Genomic DNA, 27839 nt, shown 5'->3' with positions numbered 1-27839 from the left:
CACCCAGGCTAGAGTGCAGTGGCAAGGATCATAGCTCACTGCAGCCTCAAACTCCTGGGTTCAAGTGATCCTCCTGCCCCAGCCTCCCAAGTAGCAAAAATGTTTTCAGCATCCTTACCAGGAGAAGTTTCTAATTCAAGAAGCCACTTTCATTGCTCATCCATAAGAAGCAACTCCTTGACTGGGTGCCATGGCTTATGCCTATAATAATCTCAGCACTTCGGGAGGCCGAGGTAGGAGGGGATCACTTGAGGCCAGGAACTTGAGATCAGCCTGGGGAACTTAGCTAGACCTTGTCTTTCCAAAAAAAAAAAAAAAAAAAAAAAAAAAAAAAAAAAAAGCCAAGGGCAGTAGTGCATGCCTGTAGTTCTAGCTACCAGGGAAGCTGAGGTGGGAGCATAGCTCAAGCCAAGGAGTTCAAGACTGCAGTGAGCTCTGATCATGCCACTGTACTCCAGCCTGGGCAACTGAGTAAGATCCTATCTCTTAAAAAAAAAAGAAGTAACCCTTCATCCATTCAAGTTTTATCATGAGATTCCAGCAATTCAATCACATTTTCAGGCTCAACTTCTAACTCTAGTTCTCTTGCTATTTCTATCACATCTGCAGTGGGCTCCTCTATGAAGTCTTGAAACTCTCAAAGTCAGCCATGAGAGTTGGAATCAATTTCTTCCAAACTCCTGTTAGTGATGATATTTTCACCTCCTCCTGTCGATCATGAATGTTCTTAATGGCATCTAGAATGGTGAATCATTTCCAGAAGGTTTTCAATTTATTTTGCCCAGATCCATCAGAAGAATCACTATCTATGTCACCTATAGCCTTATAAGATGTATTTCTTAAACAATGAGACTTGAAAGTCAAGATCACTTCTTGAGCCATGGGCTGTAGAATGTATATTGTGTTAGCAGGCATGAAAACAATATTAATCTCCTTGTACATCTCCATTGGAGCTCTTGGGTGACCAGGCACGTTGTCAATGGGAGTAGTATTTTGAATGAGTATTTTTTATTTGAGCAGTAGGTGTCTAGGTGTCAAAAGTAGACTCAAAATGTGTCTAGGTGTGAAAAGTAGACTCAAAATATTCAGTGAACCATGCTGTAAATAGATGTGCTATCATCAAGATGGTGTCTTATTTATAGGCATAGTAGATTTAGCAGAATTCTGAAGGGACTTGGAATTTTCAGAATGGTAAATGATCATCATTACCTTTAACTTAAAGTCACCAGCTGCATTAGCCCCTAACAAGAGAGTCAGCCTATCCTTTCAAGTTTCGAAGCCAGGCATTGACTTTTGCTCTCTAGTTATGAAAGTCTTAGATGGCATCTTCTTCCTACAGAAGGCTTATTTTTCCACACTGAAGATCTATTGTTTAATTTAGACATCTTCATCACTTTGCAAGATCTTCTGGGTAACTTGCTGCAACTTCTACCTTAGCACTTGCTGCTTCACTTTGCACTTTTATATTACGGAGATGGCTTCTTTCTTTAAACCTCATGAAATAATTTCTGCTAACTTCCAACTTTTCTTCTGCAGCTTTCTCACCTCTTTCAGCCTTCATAATATTGGAGGGAGCTAGAGCCTTTCTCTGGTTAGGTTTTTGGCTTAAGGGAATGTGGTGGCTAGTTTGATCTTCTGCCCAGACCACTAAAATTTTCTCCATATCAGCAATAAGGTTGTTTTGCTTTCTTATCATCCATGTGTTCACTAGAGTAGCACTTTTAATTTCCCTCAACAACTTTTCCTTTGCATTCATATCTTGGCTAACTGGCACAAGAGGCCTAGCTTTTGGCATATCTTTGCTGTTGACATGCCTTCCTAACTGTAATCATTTCCAGCTTTTCATTTAAAGTGAGAGACATAGAACCCTTCCTATCACTTGAACACGTAGAGACCATTGTGGAGTTATTAATTGGCCTAATTTTAATATTGTTATGTCTCAGGAAATAGAGAGGCCTGAGGAGAGGGAGAGAGATGGGGAAATGGCCAGTTGTTGGAGCAGTCAGAACACACACACAACATTTATCCATTAATCATTTTTTAGGGGCGCAGTTCATAGTGTCCCAAAACAATTACAACAGTAATAACCAAGATTATGGATGACAGATCATCACAACAGATATGATAATAAAACAAGTTTGAAATTTTTTTTTTGAGATGGAGTTTCGCTCTTGTTGCCCAGGCTGCAGTGCTATGGCAAGATCTCAGCTCACTGCAACCTTCACCTCCCAGGTTCAAGCGATTCTCTTGCCTCAGTCTCCCAAGTAACTGGGATTACAGGCATGCGCCACCACACTCAGCTAATTTTGTATTTTTATTAAAGACGGAGTTTCACCATGTTGGTCAGGCTGGTCTCGAACTCCTGACCTCAGGTGATTCACCTGCCTTGGCCTCCCGAGTGCTGAGATTGCAGGCATGAGCCACTGCGCCTAGCAAGTTTGAAATATTTTGAGAATTACCAAAATGTGACACAGAGACATGAAGTAAGCACATGCTGTTAGAAAAATGGTGCCAGATGACTTGCTCGATGCAGAGTTGCCACAAACCTTCAATTTGTATGAAACGCTATAGCTGTGAAGTGCAATAGAGCAAGGCTCAATAAAACAAGATATGCCTGTAGTGTCTAGTAGGCATGTTTGGGGGTGGCTTGAGAGGATGCTTGGTAAGGGAGGCTATCCAAGGAAACACCAAATAAGGTCTCTTGGAGATCATGCCCTTACAGCCCACAGAGTACATCTGATGGTGTCTGTGTTGATGGTTGATCATGATCTCTTTCCTAAGACCTCCTTGTCCAAGGGAAGCTCTTGAGAAAGGTGAAGACAAGCCTGAGATACCCAGAGCCCGGTGATGCCTCAGAGGTGGCTCACAGCCTCTGGTCTGATGAAGGAAGTTTTCTTCTCTGATGTCTCTTTCATTGAATGGCCCAGCAAGAAGCACTAGACTGGAGCATAACACTGCACACCTGCCTCTGGGCATGGCCTATCCTCCTGAAACCTCTTCACATTTGGCTTCATGTCCCAGTTAGCTACATGTGACCCAACCCTGGATCTAGCCCCAGGATCATTTCAGAGGAGTTGCGATTGCAGAGTGGGAGATTCTGTACCACACTGATTAATTTCCACCAACTCACAGTAGGATGACAGGGAAGACCCATAGCCACTCTGTGCCAATTACTCCTTAGCAACAGCAGCATGAACCACCTGTTCCACATCCCTTAGTGTTCCTCTTGATCTAAAGAAAAGAGAATGAACCAGCCCCTAAGGAAGAGGGCTTGGGAAAGATAAGGACTATTCAGTTAATGGAAGGTGCTGGAGTGTCAGATCCTGAGGCCCAAAATGGGTCCCATCAGAGGAGTAGCCATATTGGTGGGTGCTGGATAGGAGGAGCTTTGGGGTTGGTGCAGGCACTCACTCTCACTAGGATGCCTCTGGTCTCAGGTAATGGAGAGAAGTGAGGAAAAAGTGATCCTAGAGGAAACACCCTCTTCCAGTCACATCATATCCTCTCACTCTCTTGTGGCCTTGGGCTTGCTGGACTTCCTGGGACTCATTATCCTAATGATAGACAGTAATCTGAACCTTACAGAGAGATTGGGGAGCATAGGATGGCGGTGCACCAAGGCTAAGGAGACCAAAGCAGTGCTTGGGGGCCTCCCACTCTTTATCTCGGGTTCTAACTGCCACCCATCTCATGCTTAATGGGTCCTTCTGACTCCAGGGTGAGAAATGTTCTCCTTAGCATCAGGAGATGCTGCACATGAGCAGTTCCTCCCCCTGGGAGTACTGGTTCAGTGAGCAAAACAGCAAGGGGCTGGGCATCCTGAGGGCTGGCAGGGATACGTGGGCCAAAGAGGGAGAGGGAGGGTAGAGAAGCATAGCCAGGGAGAGAAATTGAACACCAGGACGCAAGACAAGTGGGGCATCTGTAGGGGCCACAGTGAGCTCTCAATGATCATCTGTAGTGGCAGCAAAAGAGGTAGGATCCCTGGGCATTTGTTCTGGTTTATTTGACAGGGACAAGGGGTTCAGACAGTAGAGAGGGCGGCATTCCTGTTGATGTTCTTATGCTGGTGACTTGAGGTCCTTGTGCTTCGGATGTGGGCACAGTCTTGGATAGAGGAGTTGGGAAGCAGGATGCACATCCCAGCCCACTCTCCCACTCACAGGATGCTCATGCAAACATTCCCACAGTAGGTAGAACAGCATATGTTATTTGCTTGACAATCTCGGTGAGATTCACATAAGTGTTTGCATAGATATAGTTTAGGCTGCTGCTGGCAGACTTTGATTTCTGGGGATAGCTGTGTTTCTGACAAGGAGAATAGAACGGTAAATAAACGCAGTTTCCTAGAGAACATTTTTCTCAAGCTGAAGCCTCCTCCAAGACCCTTGAACCCAGGTCTCAGTCATGATACTCCTGGATTCCTTCTTCATAGAACTACCTTCCTGCCCATCACCAAATCCTAGTGATTGGTCATATTTTAAATCCTGTCTCTCCACTGTACACCTTACCCCATTAGACCACAATGCCTGGGCTTCCTGGACCTTCTCCACACACCAGCAATCAGAACTCCATCTCCCTTACTAGTCATGGCCTTGGTGAAGTCACCACCAAAGAATCTACAGTCTGATCCTGAGAGCTCAAAGAAGCATGAGACATCTTTCAAACTCTCTCCTAGTCTCTGAATAGTAGAATTCAGAGATGAGGATCAACATGCCTCTTGTCTCTCCCTCTCTTCTGCTCACTGTCACTGTCTCTAGTCTTCCTGCCCCTTCTTTAGTTCCCTTTCCACCACCACTCTCCTTGCCCCTTTGATGATAACCTTAACTTGGCTCTGTGTACCCCAACTTTTGCTTGTCTTATGTCCTATTTCCCTACACTTATACCCATTCTACACCTACACCTACCGTCATAACCACTTCTGAATCTTTACTCCTCACAAATGTGCATAAATCAAATAATAATTGTCTTGCTTTCCCCACTGGATTCTCAGCCCTGGTGCGCCTTTCACTATGGGATGTGCCATTTCTCTCTAAGTATTGAGAAGGAACAGCAAAATATGCAGGTTTCTTCTTCATTCCCATTACTATTCCCAGGGCCAGCTAAGGGGCTGGAGGGCCATGGTTTAGGGACAGTCCAGAGTCTACACAACATTGTGGTCAGAGCTGGATATGCAGAGAGTTTCCAACTCCTAGGTCCTACTCAGACTGGACACAGGCCCTCCATTCCCCCTACCCAATTCCCCCTCACCCATCCAGCAGCCCATCACCTACTCTGCATCCTCTTCTTGTCACGGTATCCTCCCTGGGCCTGCAGCAGCAGCACACAGAGAACCAGGACAGGCAGCAGAGTCTGGGGTGCCATGACTCTGATCAGATCGTGAGCCCTATGTCTGGCCAGGTTGTCACAGACTTCCCTGCAGAGCTGTCTACGGAGAGTGAAGGAAGGAAAGAAGGAATGATCTTTAGCTCCTCACTGCCTCTACTGGCCAAGTCGGAGCAGAGCAAGAGAGTCCTTCCTCTTTTTGCTTGCCCCTGGCCTTGTCGTTCGTCATGTGGGATAGGGCTTCCGCAGGAATGACGCCTCCTCCTTTCACATAACCAGTCTTGTGTTCTTGCCGATAGAATGAAAGATATCATTTATTTCTGCTTTCTAATTACAAAATGTTTTATGGAAAAAAGAAAAGAAAAAATATATTGTTAAAAAGAGTTGCTTAGAATTAACTGATGTTTCATTGCATTATCTTTTAGTTTCTCTCCATATTTAATATAAACAATCCTTTTAATATAAACAACTTTTGTTATCTATTTTTGCCACCCTTATTTAATCATGTAAGTATTTCTCAAAATGTGGATTTTCATAATTGCACAGCTCTCAAATGCTAATAATCAAGTATTTGTATTGTACTAATTACTAATAATCTAGAGAATGTCATATTATTTTTATTTATAAATCTTTGATTTCTTTAGACTAAGAGAGCTAGAATTCCTGAGTGAAAGAGTAAGTAGCTGTTTCATATATAAATGTATATAAACACATACACAGATATACATATACAAATTTAAACACACATAAACACACAGAAAGAGAGACTATTGTAGGGCATGGGACAGAAGGGCTAGTGGAGAAACATAGTAAATATCTTAGAGCTCAGACAGGGGGAGAGACCTATCAGTCAAAGGCTTGGCAGGCTGTCCAGGAGGAGGTGGTCACTGACCTTGAATATCATGAAGGAAATGAACTCTCAGAAGTGAAGATGTTTCTTCTTCCCTAACAGGAGAAAGAGGGGACAACCTAGGGTCACTGGACTCCCAGTAGGCATGCAAGCTGGGAAGAAGATCACCCTCTTCCTCTGATGATGATAATCTTCTAAAGATTTGAACCTCTTTCTGACATTCTGAACTCCTAATGCAGACTCCTTCAGTCCACAGTTGTAATTTACATTCAAAGGAAGCTCTCTAGCCTTTCCCCCATATCTCACCTTATGCACCTTCCTCTGTATCCTTTGCGATATCCTTTATAATTCAAAAATTCTGATATTTGTACCTATAGTTTACAGAGTGGTATTTGACCCTTCCCAAAGGCTCTCTCTTTCCTAGTTTTTCTTTTTGTCCACTCATAAATGAACAATTTAGAGACTGGACACTGTCATAACTATCCTAGCAAAGAGGGGTTATATAGAGGAGAATCATCATCTCAAATAGAAGCTGCATTTTCCTTACCCAAGCATCTTGCAGCCAGTGCCACAATGTAAATATTTTGGCTAACAGACTTGTCACTACTAGGTCAAGACCCTAAGAAGATGGCAAGTCTCTTTCACACTCTTTTTCTTTTCCACCAGCTCAGTATAGATGACAACAAGGTTCTAGAGCCTAGTGAAGCCAAAAGGTGAAAGGAGCCTGGGTCCTTGACTTCTTTTATCACATGAAAAAAGGATACCCATTGTTTTAGAATACTCATTTTGAATTATTATTTGAGCAAGAAATAAAAAGTATATTGTATTTCAGTTATTATGTGATGGAGGCTTTCTGTTAAAGCAGTCTAGTCAACATTGTGGCAGGCTCAAGTACTGACATTTATAAGGGGAAAGATTTATGGGTATATAGAAGGTCTATACTTTATACATTCAAATTATTGATAGAGTAGTAAATTTAGTAAAGAGATGGGTAATTTGAACATTATGATTAATAAGCTTGACTTAATTAAAATATACAGAAGTCTGCATAGAAAAACTAGAGGAACACATTTTTCTCAAGCACAAATAAAACATGTACAAAAAGTGACTATACATTAGGCTATAAAAAAAGTCTGAACAAAATTTTAAAGAATTACATCACAAAGGACATAGTTTCAGACTATAATGGAAATAATTAGAAATTAGTCTAAAAAAAGACAATTACTCAAAACTGAACAGAAATTTCAAATTAAAATATATAAGTCAGAGCTTCCAGGTGGCTACCACTGAACACTTAGAGGTTGTTGGAGAGCAGCATGCTCATGGAGGGCATGGAAGCTCTCTAGCCTTTCCCCATATCTCACCTTATGCACCTCTTCCTCTGTATCCTTTGTGATATCCTTTATAATTCAAAAACCTAGAGGAAATGGATAAATTCTTGAACACATACAACCTACCACACTGAACCAAAAAGAAACAGAAGAACCTGAACAGACGAATAACAAGTAAGGAGATTGAATCAGTAATAAAAAGTCTCCCCTGAAACAAAAGTCCAGAACCATATGGCTTTACCACCAAATTCTATGACCCTTTAAATATAAATTAATACCAATTCTTCTCAAACTATTCCAAAAAATTGATGCGGCAGGAATTCTTCTTAGCTCAATTTTATGAGGCCCACATAACCTTAATACCAAAACCAGACAATAACAAGACAGCATAAAGAAACCCACAGGCCAATATTCCTGATGAAAATAGGTGCAAAAATCCTCAACAAAATACTAACAAACCCAATTCAACAACACATCAAAAAGATAATGTGGCATGATCAAGTGGGATTTATCATACGAATGCAAGAATGGCTCAATGTACACAAATCAATAAATGTGATACTTCACATCAACAGAATCAGGGACAAAACCATACGGTAATCTCAGTAGATACAGAAAAAGCATTTGATAAAATTCAACACCACTTTATGATAAAAACTTTCAATAAATTATGTATGAAAGGAAAGCACCTCCACATAATAAAGATCATATATGACAAACCCACAGCTAACAATATACTTAACGGTGAAAAGCTGAAAACTTTTCCTCTAAGAACTGAAACAAGATATAGAGGAAAGGCTAGGGAGCCTCCATGCCCCTCCATGAGCATGCTGCTCACTTTACCCACTCTTATTCAACGTAGTACTGGAAGTCCTAGTTAGATCAATCATGAAAGAGAAAACAATAAAGGACATCAAAATTGGAAAAGAGGAAGTCACATTTACCCTGTTTGCAGACAAGCTCTTATGTAGAGAAAAACTTAGACTCTACCAAGAAACCTGTAGAACTCATAAAGAAATTCAGTAAAGTTACAGGATACAAAATAAACATACAAGTCAGTGGTGTTTCTATGCACAATGAACTAGTTAAAAAAAGAGACCAAGAGGGCAATCCCATTTATAACAGCTACAAATAAATACCTAGGAATAAATTTAACCAAGGAGATAAAAGACTTCTACATTGAAAACTACAAAACACTGATAAAAGAAATTGAAGAGGATACAAACAAATGGAAAAACTTCCCATGCTCATGGATGGAAGGAGTTAATATTGTTAAAATTACCATACTACCCTAAACCATCTACAGAGTCAATGCAATCCCTATTAAAATACCAGTGACATTCTTCACAGTAATATAAAATAAATCCTAAAATATGTATGGAACCACAAACATCCTAGAATAGCCAAAGCAATCCTTAACAAAAAGAACAAAGCTGGAGGGAACAGGTTTCAAGACTTCTAAATATACTACCAAGCTCTAGTAACCAAAATAGCATAGCACTGGCATAAAAACAGACACGTAGACTAATGGAATAGAATAGAGAACTTAGGGCCAGGTGCAGTGGCTCATGCCTATAATCCCAGCACTTTGGGAGACCGAGGCAGGTGGATCACATGAGGTCAGGTGTTCGAGATCAGCCTGGCCAACATAGCAAAACCCCATCTCTACTAAAAGTACAAAAATTAGACGAACATGGTGGTGCATACCTGTAGTCCCAGCTACTCTACTCTGGAGGCTGAGGCAGGAGAATCACTTGAACCTGGGAGGCAGAGGTTGCAGTGAGCCAAGATTGTGCCACTGCACTCCAGCCTGGGCAACAAGAGCAAGACTCTGTCTCAAAAAAAAAAAAAAAAAAAAAAAAAAGAATAGAGAACCTAGAAATAAATCCATGCGTCGATAGCCAACTGCTTTTTGACAAAGATGCCAAGAACATTCACTGGGGAAAGGATAGTCTCTTCAGTAAATGGTGCTAGGAAAACTGGATATCCATATGCAGAATAATGAAATTAGACCTTCGCCTCTCACCCTATACAAAAATCAGCTAAAAATGGATTAAAGATCTAAAGGTAAAACCTGAAACTGTAAAACTACTAGAAGAAAACACAGGGGAAATACTTCAGGACATTTTCATGATCTTACAAAAAGATTTTTAATATAAGATCTCACAACCATGGGCAACAAAAGCAAAAATAGGTAAATTGGATTATATCAAACTAAAAAGCTGCTGCACAGCAAAGGAAACAATCGACACATTGAAAAGACAATCTACAGAATGAGAGAAAATATTTTCAAAGTATTTGATGTGGTTTGGCTCTGTGTCTCCACCCAAATCTCATCTTGAACTCTAATCCCCATGTGTGGAGTGAGGGACCTGGCAGGAGGTGATTGGATCGTAAGGGCAGTTTCCCCCATGCTGTTCTTATGATAGCGAGGGAGTTGTCATGAGATATGATTGTTTAAAAGGTGCAGTTTCCCCTGCATGAGCTCTCTCTCCTGCCACCATGTAGGACGTGCCTTGCTTCCCCTTCGCCTTCTGACATGATTTAAAGTCTCCTGAGGCCTCCCCAGCCATGTGGAACTGTGAGTAAATTAAACCTCTTTTGTTTATAAATTACCCAGTCTCAGGTAGTATCTTCATAGCAATCTGAGAACAGACTAATACATTATTCATTTGACAGGGGATTAATATCCAGAATATACAAGAAACTCAAACATCTCAACAGCAAAAACACAAACAATCCAATTTAAAAAATGGGCAAATGATCTGAACAGACAATTCACAAAAGAAGACATACAAATGACCAACAAATATATGAAAAAAATGACTTCATTGTTCTCTCAACATCACTAATCATCGGGGAAATGCAAGTGAGAACTATAATGAGGTATCACCTCACTCCAGTCAGGATCGCTACAATAACAACAAAATGACAAAAAATAACAAGTGCTGTTGACCTTGTGGAGGAAGGGGAACTGTTATACACTGTTGGTGGGAATATAAATTAGTACAGTCACTATGGAGAATGGTATTGCAATTTCTCAAAAGCCTACACATAGAACTCCACTACCATATGACCCAGCAATCCCACTACTAGGTATTTATCCAAAGGAAAGGAAATCAGCATATCAACATATGTACCCCCATGTTTATTGCAGCACTATTCACAATAGCCGAGATACAGACTCAACCTAGGTGTCTAACAACCGAGGAATGGAGAAAGAAACTATGATACAAATATACAACACAATCCTATTCAGCCACAAAAAGGAATAAAATCCCGTGGTTCATGGCACCATGGCTGAAACTGGAGGACATTATGTTCTGTGAAATAGCCAGGAACAGAAAATTAAACAACACATAGTCTCACTCATATCTGGAGAAAAGTCGACCTCATGGAAGTAAAAAGTAGAACAGCAGGTACTAGAAGCTAGGAAGCATAGTGGGAAGGGGAAGATAGGGAGAGATTTTTTTGTTTTTTGAGACAGAGTCTTGCTCTGTCGCCTAGGCTGGAGTGCGGTGGGACGATCTCGACTCACTGCAACTTCCGCCTCCCAGGTTCAAGCCATTCTCCTGCCTCAGCCTCCTGAGTAGCTGGGACTACAGGCACGTGCCACCATGCCTGGCTAATTTTTGTATTTTTAGTAGAGACGGGTGTTTCACCATGCTGGCCAGGCTGGTCTTGAACTCCTGACCTTGTGATCCACCTGCCTCAGCCTCCCAATGTGCTGGGATAACAGGCGTGAGCCACTGTGCCCAGTGGGAGAGATTTGTTAAAGGATACAACGTCATAGCTAGACAGGAGGAATAAGTTCTAGTGTTCTATAGCACTGTAGGATGAACATACATAAGAATAATATAATTTCAAATAGCTAGAAGGAAGATATTGAATGTTCCCAACACAAAGAAATGATAAATGTTTGAGATGACGGGTATGCTAATTACCCTGATCTGATCACTATACATTATACATATTGAAACATCACTATGTATCACATAAATATGTAAAATTACTACTTGTCAATTTAAAAACTTTTTTTTTTTTGAGATGGAGTTTCTCTCTTGTTGCCCAGGCTGGAGTGAAGTGGCATGATCTCGGCTCACTGCAACCTCCGCCCCCTGAGTTAAAGTGATTCTCCTGCCTCAACCTCCTGAGTAGCTGGGATTACAGGTGCCCGCCACCACACCTGGCTAACTTTTGTATTTTCAGTAGAGACGGATTTTTACCATGTTGGCCACTCCTGACCTCAGGTGGTCCACCTGCCTCGGCCTCCCAAAGTGTTAGGATTACAGGCATGAGCCACCACGCCTGGCCTAAAAACATCCAAAACCTACACCACAGATCTGGTTTTTCTGCACAAACAGAAAAGAATAAGAGGAGTTGCTTGATGTGCCATCTGAAATAAAGATGCAACAACATCCAGATTAATTTTGGGATCTTTGTAACAATCCCCAAATCCTTGAAGCTTCCATCTGTTTGCTATTTTCCTGGCCTAATTTTGTTTTTCTTGGTGAATAACTGTATGACCATTATAATGAAATGTGTCAGCTTGGGCTCCTCTGAATTTCTCTCTGGGTGTTTTACCCAGATCTTCATAGCTAGATTATCAGCTGGTCCCATCCATTAGTTTCCCCCTCACTCCTGAGCCATTTCTCAAACATGCACACTTAGCTTAACTTAACCTAAACTGTTTTAGGTTTGACAATACAAATCTGTTTAGGTTTGCATCACCTCCCCCATCAAGTTGAGCTGGTTAATGGGATGAGAATAACAAACCTATGCTTCCTTTTGGCCTTCAAATCAAACCTAGCAGTGAACATCACATTTACATGAAATGTTTCTGCACTCACACTGAATGACTGATAGCAAATAATACAGAATTAATTAAAATCATGCATAAAATAGACATAATTAATATATGTAAATAGATTAGAGTAGATATTGGCATCATTTATTTCCAGATTTTGATGGCTATGTTGTGTTTATGTAGAAGAACTTGTCTTTCTTTAGAGAAAATGTACATGACAGCATTGGGGGTGATTGGGCACCATTAAGTAACTGACTCTCAAATGTTTCAGGGAAAAGAAGTTATTTTTACTGTACTTTCAGTTTTTCTGCTACTTTAAGATTGTTTCAAAATAAAAAGGAAGATTAAGGTATGTGGAAGCGAGAGGTATAAGTGTAAACATCCAAATAGTAGTTCTAAAAGAAAAAGATTTAGCAGGTTAAAAAATATTTAATGAAACAATGCATTGAAGTTGCCCCAAATGAAAGAACTATTAAAGATCTCAGACTGGAAATGATCATAAAAGAATAGAGAAAGAAAACTTGCATATCTAGCCACATTATAAAATGTAGGAACATCAAATACAAATAAATTTTAAAATATTCTATAGAGAAAGATTAGATCACCCAAAGAAGAAGAATAATCAGACTGAGATTAGACTTTCAAATAGTGACAATAGGACAAGAAATCAATAGAGTAGCATTTTCAAGATGTTTAAGGTAAAAACTTTTCAAGTGAAAATTTACATCCTGAACTATGAGGGCACAATAAAATTGTTCTAAGACATATGAAACATCAGAATGCTTACCACACAAAGACCCTTTTTGAAAGCCTGCTTGAAGGATGTGCTCCACTAGGAAAATAAATCTAGAACCACTATACAAAAGTATATGGGCAATATAAGTGAATATGCTGGGGATTCCCAACGCTATCCCCAGGTTCAGTGCTTTACTAGGAGGACTCACAGGACTCAGCACATGGTTTTTCTTGCAGCTATGATTTATTACAGTGAAAGACTACAAAGCAAAGTCAACAAAGGGAAAAGGTGCAAGGGGCAAAGTCCAGAAGAAATCAGGTGCATGCTTCCAAGTGTCTTTTCCCAATGACCAGTGGAGCCACACAGGGCATGCTGAATTCCCCCATCGATCAGTTGTGACAACATGTGTGAAGTGTTGTCTACCAGGGAAGCTCATGAGAGACAAACACAGTGTCCAAGGTTTCTATTGGGGGCTGGTCATATAGCAGCTTCTGCCTAGCATGTACCAAAATTCCAGACTCCCAAAATAAAAGCAGATATCTACCATAAACCAAGTTGTTTGTACAAATGGTTGAGGCACAGTGAGCCATACTTGTTTGTTCTGAGAACAATGGGAACTTTCTCAAAATTCAGGCTTATGGATGCCAACCAAGAGCCAACCTTGTAAGCAGGACTTTTAAAGATAGCAACTGCAGGCCTGCCATGTCAACAATTTTGCATAGTGAGAAGTCAATTCATAAAGTTTGGTGTTGTCTAAAAATTTAGGGATTAAGAAGAAAGTGGAAGGAAGAGATAGAATAAGAGAACACCAATATCTATTATAATCATGAACTAAAAACTGTCTAGAAAATATCAAGGTCAGAAGGTAAACTAAAGGGAACAGTTAGCATACTGAAAGAGCTGTCTTGTTTTAGGAAAACTTAGAAGTTTTAGAAATCTTTAAGTCTATGTGGAAAAGTAATGTGGGCTTAAATAAAAAATCCTCTAAGGGATCAGAATACAATAATGGCTTTTAAAATAGTAGAAGATATTTCATTCATCCAATAGATGTCTGAAGAGAGAAATAAAAACAAATATTTAAAAAGCATGATAAATTAAAAATATGAAATAAGATGCCAGAGATAGGCCCTAACATAAGATTGTTTTCTATAAGAATATTTATTAAAGGTAAATGGGTTAGAGACATTTATTAAAAGACAGAGATTCTCAGATTAAAATTTTTAAATGATTCAACAATGTGTAATTTCCCAAAAGTAAACAAGTAATTTAAAATAAAGGAATAAAAAAGGATGCCCCACCAAATATGAATTAAAAAGAAAGATGATATAACAATTTAAATATCATAATATAATTAACATTCAACATAGAGGACATGACACAATTTAGACAAGAATATTTTATACTGGTAAAGAAAAACAGATCAAGAAACCTTAACAATTGTATATATGTGTACACACACACATACACACAAAATGGCCTCAATAAATGAAAATAAATTATCTATACAAAGTTGTAGATTGAGCAGTTTTTTTTGTTTGAGACAGAGTATCACTCTATCACCCAGGCTGGAGTACAGCGGTGCTCTCTTGGCTCACTGCAATCTCTGCCTCCTGGGTTCAAGTGATTCTCATGCCTCAGCCTCCCGAATAGCTGGGATTACAGGTGTGTGCCACCGCACCCAGCTAATTTTTGTAATTTTAGTGGAGACGGGGTTTCTCCATGTTGGCCAGGCTGGTCTTGAACTCCTGGCCTCAAGCAATCCACCCACCTCTGCCTCCAAAAGTGCTGGTGTGAGCCATCACACCCGGCCCAATTGAGCAGGTTTGAGTACTTAGTTACAATGACTTAGATTACAAAGAAAGCCTAAAAAATTCCAAATGACTAATGCCATACAATATTTTCTTTTGAAAATGCAGGAAAATAGAAAATCAATACCAAAAGCAAATCCCATATGTCTGAAAAACAAATAACGCTACTTAATAATCCATGGCTCTCATACTTAAAAATACTTACAAAGTATTTAAACTGGATGATCATAACTATACTTACATGCCTGCCTTCCTCCCTCTTTTGTGCTATTTTTCTTTCCTTTTCTTTTTTGTTGAGACAGAGTCTCGCTCTGTGACCCAGGCTATAGTGCAATGGCATGATCTCGACTCACTGCAACCTCCGCCTCCTGGGTTCAAGTAATTCTCCTGCCTCAGCCTCCTGAGTAGCTGGGATTATAGGCACCCACCACCACGGCTGGCTAATTTTTCGTATTTTTGGTAGAGACGAGGTTTCACCATGTTGGTCAGGCTGTTCTCAAACTCCTGACCTCTGGTAATCCACCCGCTTCAGCCTCCCAAAGTGCTGGGATTACAGGCATGAGCCACCACGCCCAGCTGTGCTATTTTTCATGCATGTTACATCTTTATGTTTTAAGCCTATCAATACAATTGAATGATTATAATCATTGTTTTATACAGTTGTCATTCCAATCTGTTAAAAATTATTAATATCAGATTTTATATTTACCTACATAATTACTTTTATCTGTTCTCTTTGTTTCTTAATGTAGATCTCATTACTACCTGATGTCTTTTCTTTTTAGCTTTAAAGCTTTTCTCTAGTATTTCTTGAAAGGCAGACCTGGTAGCAACAAATTCTCTCAGTCTTTGTTTTTCTGGGAATGTCTTTATTTTACCTTCATCAGGAAAGGATAGCTTTGCTAGATATAGAATTATTGGATACAGTATTTCAGATACTGCACTGGGAAATTCTTAACTAAAATAGAAGAGTATACAGATTGTCCTAAATTCTGCATAGCTTGATCCAGAATCATGAGTGGCAGGAGTCCTTGGCACTCCTGGGCTACTCATTAGTGACTGTGCTCCTCAGCTCTCCAGCAGCTGGGCCACACAGAGCAAAAGACTATGATCGTCATGCATGGAACATCATTTTGCTGCCATATAAATAAATATCTTAGAAATCCATAATTCAATCACTCTAGGTTTGGCACCATTTTCAGTCCCTGTCAAAATTTCCTTCAGTTTGTTCCCACACCTTTTTACCTTGGTTCCAAAGCTCTTTGTATCTGTACTGGTCCACCTTCCTCAGCCAAGTCCCTGGAGTCCAGACATATACTTCCTGCCCCTCAGTGCACTCAACATACAGGCATATCTCATTTTATTACACTTTGCTTTATTAATTAATTTTTGCTTTATGGATGTTGCATGTTTTACAAATTGAAGGTTTGCAGCAACCCTGCATTGAGCAAATCTTTTGGCACTATTTTTCCAACAGCATGTTCTCACTTATGTCTTTGTGTCACATTTTAGTAATTCTCAAAATGTTTCAAACTTTATTATTATTATTCTTATCATTATATCTGTAAGGTGATCTATGATCAATGATTTTTGTTGTTACTATTGTAATTGCTTTGGAGTGCCACCAGCTGTGCCCATAGGACATGGCGAACAATAAATGTGTGTGTGCTCTGACTGGTCATTTGCCAGTCTTGCTCCCTCTTCTCAGCCCCTTTATTCCCTGAGACACAACAATATTGAAATTGGGCCAATTAATAACCCCGCAACAGACTCTAAATGTTCAAGTGAAAGGAAGAGTCCCACATTTCTCACTTTAAATAAAAAACTAGAAAAATAATTAATCTTAGTGAGGAAGGCATGTTAACAGCTGAGATAGGCTGAAAGCTAGGCCTCTTGTACCAAACAGCCAAGTTGTGAATGCAAAGGAAAAGTTATTGATGGAAATTAAAAGTTCTACTCCGGGAACACAGGAACGATAAGAAAGCAAAACAGCTCTATTGCTGATATGGAGAAGGTTTTAGTGATCTAGACAGAAGATCAAACCAGCCACAACATTCCCTTAAGCCAAAACCTCATCCAGAGAAAGACCCCAACTCTTCAATTTTATGAAGGCTGAGAGAGGTGAGGAAGCTGCAGCAGAAAAGTTTGAAGCTAGCAGAGGTTGGTTCATGAGGGTTAAGGAAAGAAGCCCTCTCTAAAACACAAAAGGGCAATGTGAAGTAGCAAGTGCTGATGGAGAAGCTACACAGCAAGTTATCCAGAAGATCTAGCTAAGATACTGTTGGCCCTTTAACAACACAGATTTGAACTGTGCGGGTTCATTATACATCCTCAAGGAACTTTATGATGATCCACTTCCATTTAATAAATAGTAAATATGTTTTTCTTCCTTATGATTTTCTTAATAACATTTTTTCTCTAGCTTACTTTCTGGTAAGAGTAAATGGTACACAAAATACATATAGCATACAAAATATGTGTTAATCAAATGTTTATGTTATTAGTAAGGCTTCTGGTCAACAGTAGGCTATTAGTCAGGCATGATGGTGCACACCTATACTTTCAGCTACTCAGGAGGTTGAGTGGGGGAAGATTGTTTGAGCCAGTAGTTTGAGACCAGCCTGGGGAACATAGTGAGACCCCATCTCAATAAAAAGAATATTTCAGGCATGGTGGTGTGTGTCTGTAGTCCTAGCTACTCGGGAGGATGAGGAAGGAGGATCGCTTGGAGCGGGGAGTTTGAGACAAGCCTAGGGAACATAGCAAGACCCTGTCTCTAAAATTAAAAATAAAACAGTGGGCTATTAGTAGTTGGGTTTTTGAGAAGTCAAAAGTTATACATGGATTTTCTTTTTAAATTTTTTTTGAGATGGAGTCTCGCTCTGTCACCCAGGCTAGAGTGCAGTGGCACAATCTGTGCTCACTGCAACCTCTGCCACCTGGGTCCAAGTGATTCTCCTGCCTCAGCCTTCTGAGTAGCTGGGCCTACTGGTGCCTGCCACCATGCCAGGCTAATTTTTGTATTTTTAGTAGAGATGGGGTTTCACCATATTGGCCAGGCTGGTCTCGAAATTCTGACCTTGTGATCTGCCTGCTTTGGCCTCCCAAAGTGCTGGGATTACAGGCGTGAGCCACTGCACTTGGCCTATACATAGATTTTTAACTGTGCAGGAGTTCAGTACCCCTAACTCCCATTTTGTTCAAGGGTCAACTGTAATTGATGAAGGTGGCTACAATAGACATCAGATTTTCAATGAAGACACAACAGCCTTATATTGGAAGAAGATGCCATCTAGAACTTTCATAGATAGAAGTCAATGCCTGGCTTCAAAACTTCAAAAGACAGACTGACTTTCTTGCTAGGGGCCAATGCAGCTGGTGACTTAAAGTAATAATGAGCCAAAGCTCATTTATCATTTCAAAAATCTTAGAGCCCTTACAAACTATGCTAACTCTGCTCTTGCTCTGCTCTATAAATGAAACAGCAAAGACTGTGTGACAGCATGGTATACTGAATATTTTAAGCCCACTGTTGAGGCCTACGGCTCAGAAAAAAAGATTTTGGTCACTCAAGAGCTCTGATGGAGCTATATGAAGAGATCAATGTTTTCATGCCTGCTAACAACATTCATTCTTCAGCCCATGGACCAAGAGATAATTTTGACTTTCAAGTCAAAATTATTTAAAACATACATTTTGGAAGGCTATAGCTACCATAGATAGTAATTTCCCTGATGGATCTGGGCAAAGTAAATTAAAAAATTCCTGGAAAGGATTCACTATTCTACATACCATGATTCATGGAAGGAGGTCAACATGGCAGTATTAACAGGAGTCTGGAAGAAGTTGATTCCAATCCTTATAAATGACTGAGGGTTTCAAGACTTCAGTGGAGGAAGTCACTGCAAATGTGATGAAAATAGCAACAGTGAGAATTAGAAGTGCAGCCTGAAGATCTGACTGAATTGCTGCAATCTCATGAGAAAACTTGAGTGGATGAGGAGTTGCTTCTTATAGATGAGCAAAGAAAGTGGTTTCTTTGAATGGAATCTGCTCCTGGTGAAGATGCTGTGAACATTGTTGGAATGATGACAAAGGATTCAGAATATTGCATAAACTTAGATAAACCAGCAGCACAGTTTGAGAGGATTGACCGAAATTTTGAAAGAAATTCTATTGTGTATAAAATGCTATCAAGCAGCGTTGCATGCTATGGAGAAATCTTTCTTGAAAGGATCAATCAATTGATGTGGCAAACATCATTGTTCTTATTTTAATAAATTGCCACAGCTACCCCAACCCTCAGCAACCACCACCCTGATCAGTCAACAACCATCAACATTGAGGGAAGACCCTCCACCAGCAAAAAGATGATGACTTGTTGAAGGCTCAGATAATCATTAGCAATTTTTAGTAGTAAAGTATTTTAAAATTATGGTATGCACATTATTTTTTATACATAATGCTATTGAACACTTGACAGACTACAGCATAGTGTAAACATACCTTTTTAATATTTTAATAAGTAATAATGAAATTCATCATAAGAAAACTATTAGAAACTGTTTAGAATATGAAAGAGGTACAGTTGTATACTGAAACATATACAGATTTGTATCAGAAGTTTGCAAATTTTACTAGCTTTTTCAGAGAAACAACTTTCAACTATTAAATATTTCATTTTCTAGTTTAAATAAATATATAAATAAAAGACTTCAGGAAAACATACTTTTCATATGCACTGGGAAACCAAAAAAGTGCACTTGGCTCACTTTATTGCAATATTACCTTTTTTATGGTAGCCTGAAACTGAACCTGCAATATCTCCGAGGTATGCCTGTATCCTAGGAAGAATTTTATATTGACATCTCCTGTCACTGCGTATAATATTCCTGCAGACAGGCTTTGAGAGAAGGTTTACCCCTTGGAAGTCCCTGCCTCCTGCCCACTTGACTGTTCTCTTTTCTCATGAGCTAGTGATCTCCAAATCATGTGTATTGTGTGCCCAATATAATGCCCTTCCCTGACATTTGGTGAACAAATCCCTCTGCACCTCAACCAACAAGCTCATGGCAAGAACTTGGTGCTGGATTTGGTCACGTCGCTTCCTTCATTTGTTAGGTGGTCATCTACTTTTTCTAAAATTCTTCCTATTCAGTCTCTTTTTAGCTACATAAAAGTCAGAGGGCATTTGGTGGGAGATCTTGTTATGATTTTATTGGTAAAAGAGAATCAATACTGAGAAAGATAGAATGTTAAATAGGACAGACAAGAGGTCAAAGGTCAATGTAGACTGTTCCCAACTTCCTACATATGAATGGACTGAGATGTATTTGAGAGACTTTGGGAACATGTACTTTGGGTCTGCTGGGGGTGGCCTGAGCTGCAATCCAGGTACACAATGTTCTTCCCAGCTTTTCAGAGGATCCCACCTGCACCTTAGAAAATTGAGTACATCTGGATGGGTGAATATCAAAGGAAAGAATCTGTGATACAGCCAACATGTAGTTTCTGGGTAGAAATTAAAAATCGGTCACAACCAAAATCACCATTAAGTTCCTGGCCTTTGAACATTGTTTTTCTGCTCTTCTGCCCCCAGTTCGAGCCCCACTTCAAACAACTTCATAATAAAAGGCCAGACAAAAGAGCTGTCAGCCAGTTACTACAGACACTCAATGCAGACACCTTCAGAGGTAGGTGGGGATAAAGGTCTTGAGACATGAGCTTCTATTTGTGGCTTGCTTGGATTAATTCCTAGCCCAGATGGTGTCACTATTCCTGTGAGGTAGGGATTATTGTTTCTTTTGTTCAAATAAGAAAATTGAGAGGGGGTGACATGAGCTGTCTGAGGTTCCATAGGTAAAAGGGACAGAAACTAAAGATTTCAGCATTCCTGACACTAAATCCAGCACTCTGTCCTCTTTAACATTATCTGGAAAGCCAGATTGGTGGAGAGCAGTAGTTCTGTGTCTTTCTGATCCTGGGGGATCTTTGAATTGTCCTGCAGTTTGTCTCAGGATGACCAAAAAATTCACAGCACTCTGTATATGAGAAGTTGAGAAGTACCCAGCCTGGGCATAATGATGTTTCTTTTGTCTGGGATCATTTAGTACACTTGAGGGTGTGCAAAACAGGAGACTAGGCATCCTCAGATTCCTGAACACCTTTAAAGGGCAAGGGGAAAGAAAGAAAGAAAGAAAACTAGAGTAAGAATGAGGCCGTGTGAATGAACAGATTTCAAAGCTCTGGAAAACTTGGGTCTAGGGTGGTATTTTGGAATACAAAGAAACAGCCTCATGGAATCCAATGCTTTGGATTTATGGTGTTCCTGTCACTGTATATCAGTATTCCTCCTTCTTTATGCAAAGGGTTGGTACCAGGAATCCAGAGGCCTACTGCAATCTATGCCCACTTTCACCCACTTACCTCATCCCTCACATCCCTGGCTGTAAGCAGATAACAGAGTATCTTCATGGTTCACCTGTCTTGCCATGTGCTGGTATATTCACATAATCAGAAGAACACTCTGAGGTTCTCAAGGACTCAGGCTCAAGGAATGAGTATCTTGCCATTGCTAGCTAGCAAGAGCAGGAGATTAGGGAGAGAAACGAAAGGAGAAGAGAAGCCCTTAAATTGTAGATCAGATCAGATATTTGTGTGTGTGGGGGTTCTACTCTTAGATGCTTATTCCTGCTCTCCAAGCTTCTCCATTAAGAACCTGTGTCTCTGCCAGCTTACCTAAGCATGACTTGATGAAGTTGCCAAGCTAAGATGTTGCTGCTTTTGCCTCTGCTCGAATCTCTTAAAAGTGATTTGTCTAAAAGTCAATACATCTAATGACATGTGCCTAAAACTTGTATTTTTCACCTTCCAAATTTCACAGAAGCTAAGAGGAGAATACATTTTCAAAGTCTCCTCTGAAAAATTTGGCAGCTTTAAAATTTTTCTAGTATTACCTCTGCTTTTGAGCAGAGTCATTTTGGTGGATTCATCTAGAGCAGCATTGTTCAGTAGAACTTTCTGTGATGATGGAAAGGCTCCGCGCCTGAGAAATAAGGAATGTTAAATAGGACACACAAGAAGTCAAAGGTTGATGTAGACTATTCCCATCGTCCTATGTATAAATGGAATGAGAAGCATCAGAGAAAGACTTTGGGGACAATAGCCACTAACTACATGTGACCATTGAATACTTGAAATGACTGGAAACTGAATTTTGATTTAATTTAATGAGTTTGAACAGTCATAAGTGGCTAGTGGCTACCACATTGGACAGCACAAAGAAATCTCTTTTGCTTCATTGAAAATTTCTGAACAAATATAAAGACTTTCAGGCAGAGGGAAAATCACTGCCTTGTTCATGCAATGATGCAATTCATGTCAGAATTTTATCCTTTTCTTTGACTCTTATTTTCCTTCCTATTTGGTTCTAGAAAAGTAGAGCAATAGAGAATGAGGGGGGTAGATGGGAGAAGGCTGGGAAGTTTCCATTGTAATTAGGTTCCTCTTCCACTCTTCTATTATTTATAGTTCAAATTTTTCTCTTTTCTAATTATAGTGGCTTAAACACTTGAAAATAATGTTAAAAAGTAGTCTTAATAGTGCATATCTTTTTTTCCTATTTCTAATTTTAATGGGAGTACTTTCAGTTTTATAATGTGGAATGCTGGATTTTGGATTGCAATAGTTAAATTTTTACAGTGTTAAGAAAATGTCTATCTATTCCTTTTTATTAAGATTTTTCTGCTGTTCCCATACTCTAGTTTCCCTTACCCCTCAGCTGTCACTCAGCTGAAGGCTATTTTATTTTCTTCCATTTCCTTATTTTTCTCCTTACCACTGATTACCATCTATGCATTTCCTTATCTTGTTTAACTAGAATGCCAGCTGTATAAATGGGAGGATTTTTGTCTGTTTTGTTCACCACTATATTCCAATACCCAGAACTTGGAATATATTCCAATACCCAGAACTTGGAATATAGTTAGGCACTTAATAAGTACTTATTGAGTGAATGAACTCCCCCTGTCTCCCTCCACACACAGAGGCATAGAATCTAAACAGATTAAAATGCTAAGTGTAAAAAAAAAAGTAAAAAGAAAAAAATTGTAATTGAAAATAGTTTTCAAATATCCAGAGGAGGATATTCTGAGCTTAATGCTGACAGTTAACATTTATGAAGTATATACTATATTCCAGGTCCTATGCTTAGTGTTTCATACATATTATTTAATCTTCCCAGTGACCCTATGAGATGAGATGAGTATTGATATTTTTTTCTGTAATATGGATGGGGAAAACCAGGCTCTGGGGATTATGTGGCTGGCCCAGGCTCCACGGCTAGGAGTTGGTGGGGTTGGGATTCTAATTCAAGCCTATCTGACTCTGGGGCCCATGTTCTTTCCTCTTAAAATACCCATCAGCAAATAGTGTGGTGATGAAAATTACCTTTGTATAGCCTAGAGTAGAACAAGGGGTGGAGGGACATGCATTTGATATCCGGTAGGTGGAAATGTAACCTAACCCTTAGTGAGAGAAATGTGGCGGCAATTATCCAAAGCCTGGGAAAGACAATGTCTTTTGCCTAGAAATCTTTCTTCATTAACTCATGCTATAAAAATAACAATATATGTACCAAAGCTTTAACTATAAGGAGGTTCATCAGGACATTTTTATAACGAGAAGAAATTGAAACTATTCAGGTCTTGATGATATGAGGAAATGATAGTAATAAGTATGACTGAATTCTTGTCATGACTTGTATGATGTGAGCATATTTTTGCCTCCCCTGTATATTTCATTCAGAATTGTTAGTTTATTTCCTTGCTTCTTCAGGAAAATTTAGGTAGGTCTCCACAAATTTTATGTGATTCTCCAGTCATGAAACATCTTCTCAATATAATAAGTAAAATGTGCAGGCCCATGAAATTAGTCACAACTACATAAATTGTTCAGAACTATGGATTCCTCCCTCCCTCAGAAGCTCCAGTTATGGAACAGGATGTGGTGAATCTCTCTCCCCCGCCTCCCACCACCCCCACTCTGGCTCTTTGTAATTCTATTCCTCCACCCACTCTGGACTAAAGCAAGTTTCTGTCTCCTAGGGAGTAGAGGGAGGACGGACCAATAAGAGTAGTAGGAAAGTTCTTGTGTAATAGATACTATCATGAGCTGGTTCTGTGCTTCTGGTCTTGACTCTTTCGTGGGAGATTTCAAGGGTTCATTGGAAACATGAAATGTCGTCTGGCCATTTGCAGTTCAGATACTTCACAAATTAGAGCCCTCTTCTCTGCTACTACAGGCCGCTTTGGCCAGATTTAAAGTCACCCTTTAAAGTCTTCAGTCATGATTCAAGTCTACTGTGTTCCCATAGACTTCTAGGATCACATAGCAAGCTCAATGAGTCGTATTCATAAAACCTTTTCTCTCAACTTGGAATTAGGAGGCAGCATTCCGGCTTTCACGAGCAAAGCTTTTTACCAATAAAATTTCCTTCAAAATCTTCTCTACAATTCCTCCAACTTTGGACCATCTTAGTGCATTAAAGTTTTGAGTCCCCTAACAGTTCTTGGCCATCATCTTTTCTCAAGTCCTGTTATCTATCTGTAATTCCCTCTTAAATTGCTTTAGTGCCTTTTGTCTTAGGATCTTCACTAAAACTTCTTTACATCATCATGTTTCATATGCTTCAAAATAAAATATCAGGACACTTGATGTGTCCAATTTCATAAAAATAATGACTACAACATAAAAGTATAGACATATATTGATTATCTCTAGATGGTGGAATTGCTAATGCTTGTTTATTTCCTCTTTGTATTTTTAATTTTACATATTATATAATCTGAGGATTTATTGTTTTTAATCAGACAGGAGAAATTCATTTTAATAAGAAATAATTTTGCAAAGGAAGGGGTATGTAATATGAGATGAGAAGAAACCTGGGGAAGTCACTGGCTAGCCTGGGAGTTGGTTGGTATGCTACTGGGTACTAGAAAGGGAAAGAATAACATGATAGTCATAAGCACTTTACCCCTGTTGCTTACCCTGTTCTCCTCAATCCATTTTCTACGTCTAGCAGTATTGGGAAAAGACTTGCCTTCTGCCAGAACTTAACCCAAATACACACAGAGAGCACCATGAAGCCCTGGATTCTTCTACTCGTCATGTTCATCTCTGGAGTTGTGATGCTTCTGCCTGTGCTGGGAAGCTTCTGGAACAAAGATCCCTGTGGGTGGTGTGAAAAGGGACGGGGTGCTCTGCCCAGTCCTGGGATGTCTATTGTAGCTGATCCAGGGCCTGCATGTCAAGAATCAGGCTTTAAAGGATCTCTCCTTAAGTAGAGATATTCAAGCAAGATTAGGTTAGATATTCCCAATTCCTTTAAGTTTTCTCTTTCAGCTCTGAAAGCAACACTAGGTATGTGAAAAGGGAACGTATCTTTTGTCTATATTCCATCAGCTAGCAGGAAATAATATTTTCCAATATCAGACCAGTAGAGGAAAAACCAACACAGAGCTTCCCTCCAAGCCCATATTTTCAGAACCTTTGTGCCTCAGTTGGGTGAGCCTTTGATGAATGCCAAAAGGGTAATATTTAACACGTTAATTTAGTTGGAGGGGAAGAGTCTTTTAGAACATGAAAAATGGAAAAGACAAATAAAGGCTCCTTAGTGGGTCAAAGTTTGGGTTCATATGATAAGAAAATGTGGACAACAAAGACACTGAGCAGGAGGGTTGTGGGCCAGGGAAATAAAATTTATGGAGAGACTGACTTCTTAGGTGGCATCATCAGGGAAACAAATAGAAGGGGAGAAAAATGGCTGGGCACGGCGTCTCACACCTGTAATCCCAGCACTTTGGGAGGCTGAGGTGGGCGGATCACGAGGTCAGGGGTTCGAGACTGCCCAACCAACATGGTGAAACCCCGTCTCTATTAAGATACAAAAAATTAGCCAGGCATGGTGGTGTGCTCCTGTAATCCCAGCTACTCAGGAGGCTGAGGCAGGAGAATCGCTTGAACCCGGGAAGTGGAGGTTGCAGTGAGCTGAGATCATGCCGTTGCACTCCAGCCTGGGCGACAGGGCAAGACTCTGTCTCAAAAAAAAAAAAAAGAGAAGGGGAAAAAAAGTAAGTTTCTATTCTCCCTTGGCTCAGTTTCCCACTCTGCAAATTGGCTTTGGAAATTGGAGTTAGAGGATATTGCAGGCCCTGAAATCTAAGGTTACATGAGAATAAATTTGGTGGTTGGTGTCATATATGGTCAGGGTGTCCCAGGTCCTATCTTTAGAGTCTGAAATGCTGTAGGGACATGTAGATGGAGGAACACAGGCCATGCAAGGATGGTCTTGTGACAAGACACTGGTTATAATTTGAGGAAGGGATTTTCTTGGAAGGCAGAGAAATACTTTGTGGCTTGGAGCTCAAGTTTCAGAAGGGATTGTTAAGCTTAGAAAAGGTTTCTTGTCTGAGTTGTGAATAGACGGACCCTGCTAACTTCTTCCATCTCAGTTCTAGATATGATAAGAGAAACTGAGCAGTGCTGGGTACAGCCTCCATATAAGTACTGTGAGAAAAGGTGTACTAAAATAATGACTTGTGTACGTCCAAATCATACATGCTGCTGGACCTACTGTGGAAACATCTGCTTAGACAACGAGTGAGTTGGTTGGGGTGGGAAGGCTAGGGCCTGGGCATGCTTCATCACTGGTCCTTACCGACTATTCAAAAGACCGCAGCCACCCAAATCCTGGTTAAAGAAATAGGCAGCAAAAGACAATGTCCTCCTATCTCCAAACCTAGGCTGCTCCTCACTGCAAAATAAACCAAGACACCAACATGAGGTCCTCTACTTTTTTCTTCACTCTTATTCAGTTCCCTTTGCTTCCCTCAACATATCACCCAACAGTTCATACATCCCTCCTTTATCCAAAGTTCCAATTACTAACCCCTTAGTTGGGCGTCTCCATGGGCGCTCTACTCTCAGCCAGGCCCAAGGAGACCTGGTATCTATCTGTCTGTTCAGTTGGCAAACTTCTTGGGGGAAATTGCTTAAAAGTGGGTAACTTCTGATTTAGCAGAAGAATTGCTGTCCTTTTTCATCTGGGGCCTAGGATGCTATTAATTTTAGAAATGGATTTATCCCAGGATTCTTGACTTTTGACTAACTTTTCTCTTCTAGAGAGCCCCTTAAATCAATGCTAAACCCCTAGATTCTATTGGCCGATCACTACTGTGGGCTGAAGGATGACCATCTGGTCTAAGAAGAGTGCTGCCTACTTCCTTCTTGGGACACCCACTGGCTCTAGCTGGTAACCTTTCTGCTATTTCCTTGACCTCTTTACCCTGAAGCTTTTGTCAAATAAACTGCTACATCAACCTGAGGGCTCTGCATATTTTTTTTTAACTTCCTCCCTATGACTTAATTTCTCTCATTGCAATCCTCAGCAGTCCCAACAGTTGTTTCCACTCAATCATGGGCAGAGGTGCCCAGTTCTGCCTTCCCAGTTAGACCCATGTATGAACCAGTTTGGTTAATTGCTGGAGCAAATATTCAAGCAGATTTTTACAAACCTCATGGGGTAATACAGTTAACCCATGAAAGGTTATTCTCATTCACAATGCATTTCACTGAGGGTGGTCAGTGGGCAGTCATCCCTGCCATGATTCAAGGAATGTAGCTCCTTAAATCTGTAGCTCTGTCATCTCGCAGGGGCTTCTCTACTGGTTCCTCTACATTCAACCAGCAATAGGGAAAGAAAGGTATCATGGGGGCTCACACAGAAGCTTTTAAAGGGCTAGGCCTAGAAGCAAAGTTTATTATTTTAATCCACATTCCATTGACCATAATACAGTCATATGGTCCCACATATTTGCAAAGGAGATTGGGAAATGTAATCTAGCTGTTTTCTCAAGAAGAACAGAAAATGGGATTTGGCAAGTACTTGGCAATCTGTGACCTGTCTACTCATGCAAAGCCAGAC

The 27839-nt window shown here is 40.1% G+C and overlaps 2 protein-coding genes across 3 annotated transcripts; one reads left to right on the top strand and one right to left on the bottom strand.

The window, feature by feature from the left end:
• The first annotated feature begins 3893 nt into the window (after positions 1 to 3893).
• On the top strand, positions 3894 to 27239 carry WFDC9 (WAP four-disulfide core domain 9). The gene is made up of 5 exons (NM_147198.4): positions 3894 to 3975; positions 20457 to 20550; positions 24939 to 25087; positions 26368 to 26515; positions 27038 to 27239. Exons 3-5 carry the CDS (start codon positions 24997 to 24999, stop codon positions 27066 to 27068), a joined length of 270 nt encoding a protein of 89 aa, NP_671731.1. The 5' UTR covers positions 3894 to 3975; positions 20457 to 20550; positions 24939 to 24996; the 3' UTR covers positions 27069 to 27239.
• WFDC10A (WAP four-disulfide core domain 10A) lies at positions 3982 to 5439 on the bottom strand. Of its 2 annotated transcripts, none has more exons than NM_080753.3 (2): positions 5274 to 5439; positions 3982 to 4308 (listed from the first exon to the last, which is right to left on the bottom strand). In NM_080753.3, the coding sequence occupies exons 1-2, from the start codon at positions 5362 to 5364 to the stop codon at positions 4160 to 4162; spliced, it is 240 nt and encodes a 79-aa protein (NP_542791.1). In that variant the 5' UTR covers positions 5365 to 5439; the 3' UTR covers positions 3982 to 4159. The 2 variants fall into 2 exon arrangements, with proteins under 2 accessions (NP_542791.1, XP_016883168.1); XM_017027679.2 differs by having other exon boundaries at positions 4160 to 4290.
• Positions 27240 to 27839: the final 600 nt, after the last annotated feature.

This window comes from Homo sapiens, chromosome 20, assembly GCF_000001405.40.
Source record: "Homo sapiens chromosome 20, GRCh38.p14 Primary Assembly".
NCBI classification, from domain to species: Eukaryota; Metazoa; Chordata; class Mammalia; order Primates; family Hominidae; genus Homo; species Homo sapiens.
This window is presented reverse-complemented; position numbering and strand designations above follow the sequence as displayed.

Coding starts and splice junctions, on each gene's coding strand:
- WFDC9 (NM_147198.4), top strand. CDS start 24,997: ATGAAGCCCTGGATTCTTCTACTCGTCATGTTCATCTCTGGAGTTGTG. Junction 25,088..26,367: donor CTTCTGGAACAAAGATCCCT/GTGGGTGGTGTG, acceptor CTTCCATCTCAG/TTCTAGATATGATAAGAGAA. Junction 26,516..27,037: donor AACATCTGCTTAGACAACGA/GTGAGTTGGTTG, acceptor TTTCTCTTCTAG/AGAGCCCCTTAAATCAATGC.
- WFDC10A (NM_080753.3), bottom strand. CDS start 5,364: ATGGCACCCCAGACTCTGCTGCCTGTCCTGGTTCTCTGTGTGCTGCTG. Junction 4,309..5,273: donor TGACAAGAAGAGGATGCAGA/GTAGGTGATGGG, acceptor TCTCCTTGTCAG/AAACACAGCTATCCCCAGAA.